The sequence below is a fragment of the Homo sapiens genome, chromosome 1, assembly GCF_000001405.40.
Source record: "Homo sapiens chromosome 1, GRCh38.p14 Primary Assembly".
Taxonomy (NCBI): Eukaryota; Metazoa; Chordata; class Mammalia; order Primates; family Hominidae; genus Homo; species Homo sapiens.
The window spans coordinates 178,310,619-178,323,243 of record NC_000001.11 but is presented as its reverse complement, the minus strand read 5'-3'; the positions used below and the strand labels follow the sequence as shown (position 1 = coordinate 178,323,243).

General features: G+C 40.1%; 1 protein-coding gene across 9 annotated transcripts in view, besides 2 other annotated features; it reads right to left on the bottom strand.

Moving 5' to 3' along the window:
- RASAL2 (RAS protein activator like 2) overlaps positions 1–12,625 on the bottom strand; it is a 384,747-nt gene that overhangs the window by 155,607 nt on the left and 216,515 nt on the right. The gene's annotated exons all lie outside the window — the stretch shown is intronic.
- Positions 2,116–2,711: an enhancer, noted in NCBI's record as "H3K27ac-H3K4me1 hESC enhancer chr1:178289668-178290263 (GRCh37/hg19 assembly coordinates)". NCBI's record gives its function as "activates a minimal SCP1, AML or CMV promoter by ChIP-STARR-seq in naive H9 embryonic stem cells {active_cell/tissue: H9 hESC(naive)}" and the evidence as "EXISTENCE:reporter gene assay evidence [ECO:0000049][PMID:30033119]".
- Positions 12,236–12,530: a silencer, noted in NCBI's record as "tiled region #3505; HepG2 Repressive DNase matched - State 12:CtcfO". NCBI's record gives its function as "represses a minimal TATA promoter and a strong SV40 promoter by Sharpr-MPRA in HepG2 cells {active_cell/tissue: HepG2}" and the evidence as "EXISTENCE:reporter gene assay evidence [ECO:0000049][PMID:27701403]".

Genomic DNA, 12,625 nt, shown 5'->3' with positions numbered 1-12,625 from the left:
TAAGATACAATCTTGCCATCTAAGAGGTTCCAATCTAGTAAAGATGACACATACCAACAACTTACTGAAAACATAAGAACATACATCCAAATATCAGAAGTACAAAAAGTACTGTTTATCACAAACAAAAATGCTAATGAATTCTGATTAGTGAATGAAGAAAAAGATTGCCAAGAGTTAATATCTTATTGGTCCCTTAGGATAAATGGGATTTCTACATACAGAAGGTAGAAATGAAGGTGGAAAAACAGAGCAAGATATTCCAGGTTTATGCCCTATGTGAACAAAAGCCCATGTGTATTGAGAATGCCTAGGGAATCTGAAGCAGTCCTATGTGGCCAGAACCCAGAATACATACCTGTGGTGGGTAAAAAGAAAAAAGATGATCTTAAAGAGCTAACTCTCAGTCAGAATATATAGGACGTTTAGTGTCACTGTAAATTTGAACCTCATCTTATAGATCAGTGGAGATACAGTAAAAGTGTTTAAACAAGGAAAGTAGTATGATTCAATTAGTGCTCTAAGATGACAAAAGAGCAGTGAAATGAGTTAATACAGAAGGATAAAAATGGAAACAGGAAAAGATATATGAGTAGCTATTCAGATATTTAGGTAGAAATAAAAGAGTAATGTAAAGTTAGAATGACTAGAAGGATGGTGGTCATATTAACAGAACCAACCACCACATGAGAACAGGTTGTTGGGGAGGGAAGGAACAAAGAAGGGAAACTAATCAAAGATAATGGCTTCAGTTTTGAACATTCTAGTACAGACGACCAGTTGGGAATTCAGGTCTGGAACTGAGAAGAGACGAGGAAGCCAAAAATAGAGATTTAAAAGGTACTGGCCCAGGGATGACATTTGGAAACATGAATATAGGTGAAGTCAACTACTGAGAAAGGACAAAGCAAAAGAAAAAGGGTAAGGATAAGACCTTTAGACATCTGCATTTAAAAAGTGGGAAATATTTTAAAAAGTACGGTGAGGCAGGACATAAGCAATAGAGGAAAAAATGTCACAGAAGTCAAGAAAGAGAAGCTTTAAAGGGAAGTCGATCATTAAAAACCACGAAGAGAGTTAGAAGGTGATGAGGACTAAAGTTATGAAACTTGGCCAGATGCAGTGGCTTGTACCTGTATTCCCAGCACTTTGGGAGGCCGAGGTGGGAGTATCACTTGAGGTGAGGAGTTTGAGACCAGCCTGGGCAACACGGTGAGACCCCATCTCTACCAAAAAAAAATTTTTTTTTTTTTTTGAGATGGAGTTTCGCTCTTGTTGCCCAGGCTGGAGTGCAATGGCGCGATCTCGGCTCACCAAAACCTCCACCTTCTGGGTTCAAGCAATTCTCCTGCCTCAGCCTCCCGAGTAGTTGGGATTACAGACATGCACCACCTCACCCAGCTAATTTTGTATTTTTAGTAGAGACGGGGTTTCACCATGTTGGTCAGGCTGGTCTCAAACTCCTGACCTCAGGTGATCCACCCGCCTTGGCCTCCCAAAGTGCTGGGATTACAGATGTGAGCCACTGCACCCGACCTACAAAAATTTTTTTAAATAAAAAAATTATCTGGTTCTGGTGGCACATGCCTGTAGTCCCAGCTACTAGGGAGGCTGAGGCAGGGGAGGATCACTTGAGCCTAGGAGGTCAAGGCTGCAGTGAGCTATGATCATGCCATGCGCCACTGCACTCTAGCCTAGCCACAAAGCGAGACACCAGCTAAAAAAAATAGAAAAACAAAAAAGAAAAAAATAATGAAGTTATGAAACTTATTATCAAATCTCTGATAGTTGGGGGTAATTTCAGTGGCAAATAAAGCCAGATTTCAGGGTATTGAAAAAATTATTAAAAAATTATTGAGGCGGGGCGCGGTGGCTCACGCCTGTAATTGCAGCACTTTGGGAGGCCGAGGTGGGTGGATCACCTTAGGTCAGGAGTTCGAGACTAGCCTGGCCAACATGGGGTGAAACCCTGTCTCTACTAAAAATACAAAAATTAGCCATGCATGGTGGCAAATTCCTGTAATCTCAGCTACTTGGGAGGCTGGGACAGGAGAATCGATGGAACCCGGGAGGTGGAGGTTGCAGTGAGCCAAGATCAAGCCACTGCACTCCAGCCTGGGTGACAGAGATGAGACTCCGCCTCAAAAAAATAAATAAATAAAAAATTATTGTGCACAGATAAAGTACTTTTTAGAAAAGGTTGGTGAAGAATGGAGATAGCCACTAACGTGTCAAAACTTTCACAATCTGCTAAAAACCAGCTGATATACTGAAAACTTAGAATGTGCTTGTTACCGAAGAGGATGTTAACTGACTCAGTGAATGAGAGCTTAACTGGGAATAACTCAAGTGTGCCATTTTGGTTTTAACTTAGTTTCTAAATTGAGTAAATTTTACGAATTAAATAGTCATAATAATAAAGTGAGGGGAGGAGCCAAGATGGCCGAATAGGAACAGCTCCGGTCTACAGCTCCCAGCGTGAGCGAGGCAGAAGACGGGTGATTTCTGCATTTCCATCTGAGGTACCGGGTTCATCTCACTAGGGAGTGCCAGACAGTGGGCGCAGGTCAGTGGGTGCGCGCACCGTGTGCGAGCCAAAGCAGGGCGAGGCATTGCCTCACCTGGGAAGCGCAAGGGGTCAGGGAGTTCCCTCTCCCAGTCAAAGAAAGGGGTGACGGACGCACCTGGAAAATCAGGTCACTCCCACCCAAATATTGCGCTTTTCAGACCGGCTTAAAAAACGGCGCACCACGAGACTATATCCCACACCTGGCTCGGAGGGTCCTACGCCCACGGAGTCTCGCTGATTGCTAGCACAGCAGTCTGAGATCAAACTGCAAGGCGGCAGCGAGGCTGGGGGAGGGTGCCCACCATTGCCCAGGCTTGCTTAGGCAAACAAAGCAGCCGGGAAGCTCGAACTGGGTGGAGCCCACCACAGCTCAAGGAGGCCTGCCTGCCCCTGTAGGCTCCACCTCTGGGGGCAGGGCACAGACAAACAAAAAGACAGCAGTAACCTCTGCAGACTTAAATGTCCCTGTCTGACAGCTTTGAAGAGAGCAGTGGTTCTCCCAGCACGCAGCTGGAGATCTGAGAACCGGCAGACTGCCTCCTCAAGTGGGTCCCTGACCCCTGACCCCCGAGCAGCCTAACTGGGAGGCACCCCCCAGCAGGGGCACACTGACACCTCACATGGCAGGGTATTCCAACAGACCTGCAGCTGAGGGTCCTGTCTGTTAGAAGGAAAACTAACAAACAGAAAGGACATCCACACCGAAAACCCATCTGTACATCACCATCATCAAAGACCAAAAGTAGATAAAACCACAAAGATGGAGAAAAAACGGAACAGAAAAACTGGAAACTCTAAAACGCAGAGCGTCTCTCCTCCTCCAAAGGAACGCAGTTCCTCATCAGCAACAGAACAAAGCTGGATGGAGAATGACTTTGACGAGCTGAGAGAAGAAGGCTTCAGACGATCAAATTACTCTGAGCTACGGGAGGACATTCAATCCAAAGGCAAAGAAGTTGAAAACTTTGAAAAAAATTTAGAAGAATGTATAACTAGAATAACTAATACAGAGAAGTGATTAAAGGAGCTGATGGAGCTGAAAACCAAGGCTCGAGAACTACGTGAAGAATGCAGAAGCCTCAGGAGCCGATACGATCAACTGGAAGAAAGGGTATCAGCAATGGAAGATGAAATGAATGAAATGAAGAGAGAAGGGAAGTTTAGAGAAAAAAGAATAAAAAGAAATGAGCAAAGCCTCCAAGAAATATGGGACTATGTGAAAAGACCAAATCTACGTCTGATTGGTGTACCTGAAAGTGATGGGGAGAATGGAACCAAGTTGGAAAACACACTGCAGGATATTATCCAGGAGAACTTCCCCAATCTAGCAAGGCAGGCCAACGTTCAGATTCAGGAAATACAGAGAACGCCATAAAGATACTCCTCGAGAAGAGCAACTCCAAGACACATAATTGTCAGATTCACCAAAGTTGAAATGAAGGAAAAAATGTTAAGGGCAGCCAGAGAAAAAGGTTGGGTTACCCTCAAAGGGAAGCCCATCAGACTAACAGCGGATCTCTCGGCAGAAATCCTACAAGCCAGAAGAGTGTGGGGGCCAATATTCAACATTCTTAAAGAAAAGAATTTTCAACCCAGAATTTCATATCCAGCCAAACTAAGCTTCATAAGTGAAGGAGAAACAAAATACTTTACAGACAAGCAAATGCTGACTGATTTTGTCACCACCAGGTCTGCCCTAAAAGAGCTCCTGAAGGAAGTGCTAAACATGGAAAGGAACAACCGGTACCAGCCGCTGCAAAATCATGCCAAAATGTAAAGACCATCGAGACTAGGCAGAAACTGCATCAACTAACGAGCAAAATCACCAGCTAACATCATAATGACAGGATCAAATTCACACATAACAATATTAACTTTAAATATAAATGGACTAAATGCTCCAATTAAAAGACACAGACTGGCAAATTGGATAAAGAGTCAAGATCCATCAGTGTGCTGTATTCAGGAAACCCATCTCACGTGCAGAGACACACATAGGCTCAAAATAAAAGGATGGAGGAAGATCTACCAAGCAAATGGAAAACAAAAAAAGACAGGGGTTGCAATCCTAGTCTCTGATAAAACAGACTTTAAACCAACAAAGATCAAAAGAGACAAAGAAGGCCATTACATAATGGTAAAGGGATCAATTCAACAAGAAGAGCTAACTATCCTAAATATATATGCACCCAATACGGGAGCACCCAGATTCATAAAGCAAGTCCTGAGTGACTTACAAAGAGATTTAGACTCCCACACATTAATAATGGGAGACTTTAACACCCCACTGTCAACATTAGACAGATCAACGAGACAGAAAGTCAACAAGGATACCCAGGAATTGAACTCAGCTCTGCACCAAGCGGACCTAATAGACATCTACAGAACTCTCCACCCCAAATCAACAGAATATACATTTTTTTCAGCACCACACCACACCTATTCCAAAATTGACCACATAGTTGGAAGTAAAGCTCTCCTCAGCAAATGTAAAAGAACAGAAATTATAACAAACTGTCTCTCAGACCACAGTGCAATCCAACTAGAACTCAGGACTAAGAATCCCACTCAAAGCCGCTCAACTACATGGAAACTGAACAACCTGCTCCTGAATGACTACTGGGTACATAACGAAATGAAGGCAGAAATAAAGATGTTCTTTGAAACCAATGAGAACAAAGACACAACATACCAGAATCTCTGGGACGCATTCAAAGCAGTGTGTAGAGGGAAATTTATAGCAATAAATGCCCACAAGAGAAAGCAGGAAAGATCCAAAATTGACACCCTAACATCACAATTAAAAGAACTAGAAAAGCCAGAGCAAACACATTCAAAAGCTAGCAGAGGGCAAGAAATAACTAAAATCAGAGCAGAACTGAAGGAAATAGAGACACAAAAAACCCTTCAAAAAATCAATGAATCCAGGAGCTGGTTTTTTGAAAGGATCAACAAAATTGATAGACCGCTAGCAAGACTAATAAAGAAAAAAAGAGAGAAGAATCAAATAGACACAATAAGAAATGATAAAGGGGATATCACCACCGATCCCACAGAAATACAAACTACCATCAGAGAATACTACAAACACCTCTACGCAAATAAACTAGAAAATCTAGAAGAAATGGATAAATTCCTCGACACATACACTCTCCCAAGACTAAACCAGAAAGAAGTTGAATCTCTGAATAGACCAATAACAGGAGCTGAAATTGTGGCAATAATCAATAGTTTACCAACCAAAAAGAGTCCAGGACCAGATGGATTCACAGCCGAATTCTACCAGAGGTACAAGGAGGAACTGGTACCATTCCTTCTGAAACTATTCCAATCAATAGAAAAAGAGAGAATCCTCCCTAACTCATTTTATGAGGCCAGCATCATTCTGATACCAAAGCCGGGCAGAGACACAACCAAAAAAGAGAATTTTAGACCAATATCCTTGATGAACATTGATGCAAAAATCCTCAGTAAAATACTGGCAAACCGAATCCAGCAGCACATCAAAAAGCTTATCCACCATGATCAAGTGGGCTTCATCGCTGGGATGCAAGGCTGGTTCAATATATGCAAATCAATAAATGTAATCCAGCATATAAACAGAGCCAAAGACAAAAACCACATGATTATCTCAATAGATGCAGAAAAAGCCTTTGACAAAATTCAACAACCCTTCATGCTAAAAACTCCCAATAAATTAGGTATTGATGGGACGTATTTCAAAATAATAAGAGCTATCTATGACAAACCCACAGCCAATATCATACTGAATGGGCAAAAACTGGAAGCATTCCCTTTGAAAACTGGCACAAGACAGGGATGCCCTCTCTCACCACTCCTATTCAACATAGTGTTGGAAGTTCTGGCCAGGGCAATTAGACAGGAGAAGGAAATAAAGGGTATTCAATTAGGAAAAGAGGAAGTCAAATTGTCCCTGTTTGCAGATGACATGATTGTATATCTAGAAAACCCCATCGTCTCAGCCCAAAATCTCCTTAAGCTGATAAGCAACTTCAGCAAAGTCTCAGGATACAAAATCAATGTACAAAAATCACAAGCATTCTTATACACCAACAACAGACAAACAGAGAGCCAAATCATGAGTGAACTCCCATTCACAATTGCTTCAAAGAGAATAAAATACCTAGGAATCCAACTTACAAGGGATGTGAAGCACCTCTTCAAGGAGAACTACAAACCACTGCTCAAGGAAATAAAAGAGGATACAAACAAATGGAAGAACATTCCATGCTCATGGGTAGGAAGAATCAATATCGTGAAAATGGCCATACTGCCCAAGGTAATTTACAGATTCAATGCCATCCCCATCAAGCTACCAATGACTTTCTTCACAGAATTGGAAAAAACTACTTTAAAGTTCATATGGAACCAAAAAAGAGCCCGCATTGCCAAGTCAATCCTAAGCCAAAAGAACAAAGCTGGAGGAATCACACTACCTGACTTCAAACTATACTACAAGGCTACAGTAACCAAAACAGCATGGTACTGGTACCAAAACAGAGATATAGATCAATGGAACAGAACAGAGCCCTCAGAAATAACGCCGCATACCTACAGCTATCTGATCTTTGACAAACCTGAGAAAAACAAGCAATGGGGAAAGGATTCCCTATTTAATAAATGGTGCTGGGAAAACTGGCTAGCCATATGTAGGAAGCTGAAACTGGATCCCTTCCTTACACCTTATACAAAAATCAATTCAAGATGGATTAAAGATTTAAACGTTAGACCTAAAACCATAAAAACCCTAGAAGAAAACCTAGGCATCACCATTCAGGACATAGGCATGGGCAAGGACTTCATGTCCAAAACACCAAAAGCAATGGCAACAAAAGACAAAATTGACAAATGGGATCTAATTAAACTAAAGAGCTTCTGCACAGCAAAAGAAACTACCATCAGAGTGAACAGGCAACCTACAAAATGGGAGAAAGTTTTCGCAACCTACTCATCTGACAAAGGGCTAATATCCAGAATCTACAGTGAACTCAAACAAATTTACAAGAAAAAAACAAACAACCCCATCAAAAAGTGGGCGAAGGACATGAACAGACACTTCTCAAAAGAAGACATTTATGCAGCCAAAAAACACATGAAAAAATGCTCACCATCACTGGCCATCAGAGAAATGCAAATCAAAACCACAATGAGATACCATCTCACACCAGTTAGAATGGCAATCATTAAAAAGTCAGGAAACGACAGGTGCTGGAGAGGATGTGGAGAAATAGGAACAGTTTTACACTGTTGGTGGGACTGTAAACTAGTTCAACCATTGTGGAAGTCAGTGTGGCGATTCCTCAGGGATCTAGAACTAGAAATACCATTTGACCCAGCCATCCCATTACTGGGTATATACCCAAATGACTATAAATCATGCTGCTATAAAGACACATGCACATGTATGGTTATTGCGGCATTATTCACAATAGCAAAGACTTGGAACCAACCCAAATGTCCAACAATGATAGACTGGATTAAGAAAATGTGGCACATATACACCATGGAATACTATGCAGCCATAAAAAATGATGAGTTCATGTCCTTTGTAGGGACATGGATGAAATTGGAAATCATCATTCTCAGTAAACTATCGCAAGATCAAAAAACCAAACACCACATATTCTCACTCACAGGTGGGAACTGAACAATGAGATCACATGGACACAGGAAGGGGAATATCACACTCTGGGGACTGTGGTGGGGTGGGGGGAGGGGGGAGGGATAGCATTGGGAGATATACCTAATGCTAGATGACGAGTTAGTGGGTGCAGCGCACCAGCATGGCACATGTATACATATGTAACTAACCTGCACAATGTGCACATGTACCCTAAAACTTAAAGTATAATAAAAAATAAATAAATAAATAAAGTGAGAGGAAGCTGTTTTTAGTTTTATAAGTATCTGTGATGCCTACCACTTCAAATCAAATAAGATGTTACAACTAGTATTGAACAAGCACAGAAGCTTGCTTTACTTCACAGAGAAACACTAAAAATACTGAATCTCAGTCAAAAAAAATATTGTAAACATAATAATTTCCCCAATATTTTGGGGGAAAAAGAGATAAAGAAAATCTTACCATGAGGCCAAATAATAGAACATTAGAAAGTAGTTTGAATTCATAAAATGACAGTTTGAAACATAACACTTGTCCAATAACCCTGTAGATCATGTTTTATTTATTTCATTTTCATGCAGATCACTGGCAAATCTGTAATCTAAAGTAGGAAGCTGCGGTACTTTAAAAGCTGCAAGAGAATTATTTTGTTAGCCTAATATTTGCTAGGCTCACCACCAATACTACTTGGAAAACTGTAAAATAAAACGACTTACATACAGATAATTTTTCTTACTGACATTTTCTGAATTCTATTTATATGACACTGCAAGAGACACAGTAAAAATATTCCTAACCTAGGTATAAAAACTCCACTTTTGGATCTTCTCACGTGAGCAAAGGTTGCTGTGAGTCTACAAGAGACCTATGTGGAATTAATTCTTATGTATTTTACTATCGTGGTCCCTGGGTTTTGAATTCATCGGCAGAAATATAAACAATCAAAATGATACATTAAATCATAGGCACAGCATTTATGGTCTGCAGAAAACTTGTTCTTTAGCATTATTTCAGCTGAATTTTTATTTAACAAAGAGACAAAGAGAAGAAAATATCTTCTTAAAACATTCCTGAAGCATCCAATAGAGGTTGTTTTTATTGTCTATTAGATTATAATAATTTAACCTGAAAACGCCAAGAAGTTTTTAGTCTTGTTTTGTCAGATTCAATTTATCTTCCTTACCTTAGATAAGGAAAAACTAAGCTGTTTTAAAGGCTAACTTAATATCTTACTACAAGTGACTATAGAATGAGAAAAGACTTAGCTAATTTTAAAAACAGTATATTTTAGTAGTGTGAAACCCACCTGTCGTCATCAATGTAATATGCCCTCCCATTTAAATCCCTAAAAGCTAAGGAATTAATGCCCTTAATTAGCTGGGTGTGGTGGTGTGCACCTGCAGTTCCAGCTCCCTGGGAGGCTGAGGTGGGAGGATTGCTTGAGCCCAGGAGTTTGAGGCTGCAGTGAGCTGTGATCATGCCACTGCACTCCAGCCCGGGTGACAGAGTGAGACCCTGTCTCAAAACAGAAAAAAAAAAAATGTGCACACAGTTTAGAGTCAACTGGTTCTACAACTTGTTAAAACAAACAGCAATACCCAGCCCTCCTCTTTTAACACATTTCCTTCTGCAGAAGCAACCACTTTTACCTCTCTTAGCCAATTGTTTTGGTAGTTAACATCAAATATTGAATAATATTGCTTTGTTGATACTTTAAAATTTCTCTATTTTAGACATTATCTATTGACTTTCCACTATGAAAGATGAGAATGTGAATCCTTCCTCCTCCATCACCATCCCAGTAGGTGCATACATACTCCTATTCTCTCACCTTCCCTATATAGTTACATAATAATTTTGGTAAAGGCAAACAATATTATGACTATGTACGTTATTTAGACTCCAGCCACAGAGTAAATCCTATGTAGACTGTAGCATAGTGGTCAGGAGCATAGATCTTGAAGGCATACTTCCAGGGTTCAAAGCCTATCTTTGCCACTTAATGGCTGTCTAGCTATTTAGGCAAGTTACTTCACCTCTCTATGCCTCAGTTTCCTTATCCATAAAATATTCATTGTAACATTATCTACCTCTTGGGTTTACAAGGATTAAAAAATTCATATATGTAAAGTGCCCAATATGATAAAAAGTGCTATAGAAGTGTTCTCTTTGTCCTGAGCTACTTTTTTGTTTCTCTTATAGTGTTCTCTTGTATTATTCATTTGCTTAGATATCTATATGCTTATTGTTAATTCAACCACAAATGCGCTTCCTATTGTTTCCGCTGATTGAGTTAACTTATCAATTTTGTGTTCTTGGAAAGTCTCGCTACAGCCTTATCAGCTGCTCCAGTCTGAACTGGCTGTCTTTATTCTACATCTTGTACCGAGCTATTAAACTTGGTTCTGTCTTTAGCATTCTACTAAAAGTTCCCTTTTTCTCTCCCCTGTGCTAGATCTCCTGTCCTCATTCTTAGTAAAACATATCTTTCATTAGCTTCAGGAAAAATGATGTGTAGGAGGTAATCTTTTTTGAGTCTTGCATGTCTGAAAATGTCTTTATGCTATTCTCAAATTTGACTAATAGTTTACAGCTAAATATACAATTCTGGACTGGAAAAAAATTTCCTTCAGAATTTTGAGGGCATTCCTCATTGTTCTCTAGCTTCTGATATTGCTTATTGTAAGTCCGCAGCCTTTCTGATCCTTTGTATGTACTCCAATTTCCCTTTTTTTGCAGGTTTGTAAGACTGTCTCTTGTCACTAGAGACAATTTAGAATTTCATGAAATGTGACTTGTCATGGGAACTCAGTAAGCCCTTTCAATCTGGAAACACATATCTTTCAGTGGTGGGAAATTTCCTGAAATTATTTTGCTAGGGTTTTGCTCCCTTTCTTTCCCTTTTTCTGGAATTGTTGTTTTGATATTCAACTTCCTAGACTGGTCCTCTCATTATTTTATCTTTTTTTTCTCTCCACTTTCTATTTTCTCAATTCCATTTTCCAACCCTTATATTGAGTTTTATATTCTAATTTTTTAGTAGACAAAAGCTCAACTTTGTAAAACATTCTGTTCTTGTTTCATGTATGTAACATCCTATCTTTCTGAGGATATCAATCATTTTTTTAAAGTTTTCTGTTCCCTGCCTAGTCTCTACCTCCAAGTTGTTTTTTCCCTTTTTTCTTTTTCTTTTCTTCTTCTTCTTTTTTTGTATGTTTTAGTCTCTCTCTTTCAGGCTTTTCTTCAGATGTCCACTAATCTTGGGAAAGTTGGTATTCTTAGATCTTTCTTCTTGGGCTAAATACACCAAGGGGTATTCTACTAATCTCCTGCCTGTAGGGTAAAGGCAAGTGAGAGAAGAAAGGTGGAGGAGTCCCATCATTCAGCGTGCACATATTCACCTAATTCCCTCATATGTGGTAAAATGCCCTGTTCTCAATTTTGCCTAGTATCTCCCAATCCAAAGATACTTGGGCTTTTTTTTTTCCCTCCAAAGAGTATACTTGGAGTCTTATACTAAGGTGGAGGTATAGGTAGGAAGAACAGTTGTTCAGTGGAATGGGGAAGAGGAGGAGACCTGGGGATCTGCTACCACATATGTCTGGCTCAATTCCTGAGCTATTTAAAGATTCTGTGGTAAAGGTCAGCTTCATTTTTAGCCTTCTTCATAGCCAAGTTAAGATTTGGCTTTCTTAAGTAAGCTATGTCATTTGCCACACTCTATTTGCTTTTCAGCTTTCAATGTGTGTGTGTGTGTGTGTGTGTGTGTGTGTGTGTTTGTGTGTGTGTATGGCTGTTTTCTTCTTTCTCGTTCTCCATATCCTTGATGGATCATGTCTTTAAAATAAAACACCTTTAGTAGGTTTGGTGGAGTTTCTGGGAGGAGTATAATTAGATGCTTGTGTTCAATCTGCCATTCATCTCCTCCAGATGTCCAGGCTGAATCTAAAAATCATTCCTACTTCCCACCTGATTCTCCAACCACCACAGTGGTTTCCTAAGAACTTGGCCTTAGGGCTGATTAAGAGGAGCCTCTAGTGTGGGTATCACATTTTGGAGTACTCTACTCTGGTCTTCTTGGGCACCCATTTCCACAGAACTTGACTGTACAAACTGGGAACAGTAACCATGACAATAGCCTATACAAATGACTTCCACAAATTAGAAAGGGAGTCCTTTATTGAAGAAACTCTACTGCCATCTACTGGAAATTTTATGAAACAGCTACAAATCAGCGATAACAAGTGACAGGTAATTGGGTAACAGTTTGAGCAACCATAAGTGGCAGCACTGCCTTGGAGCCACCTTCACAGAAGTAAACAAATCTCCACTGTGCTAAAATATGGAAGATAAAAGAACAAATTAGGAATCCAAACTTCAAATTACAGCAGAATTGTGGTCTCGCACCTCAA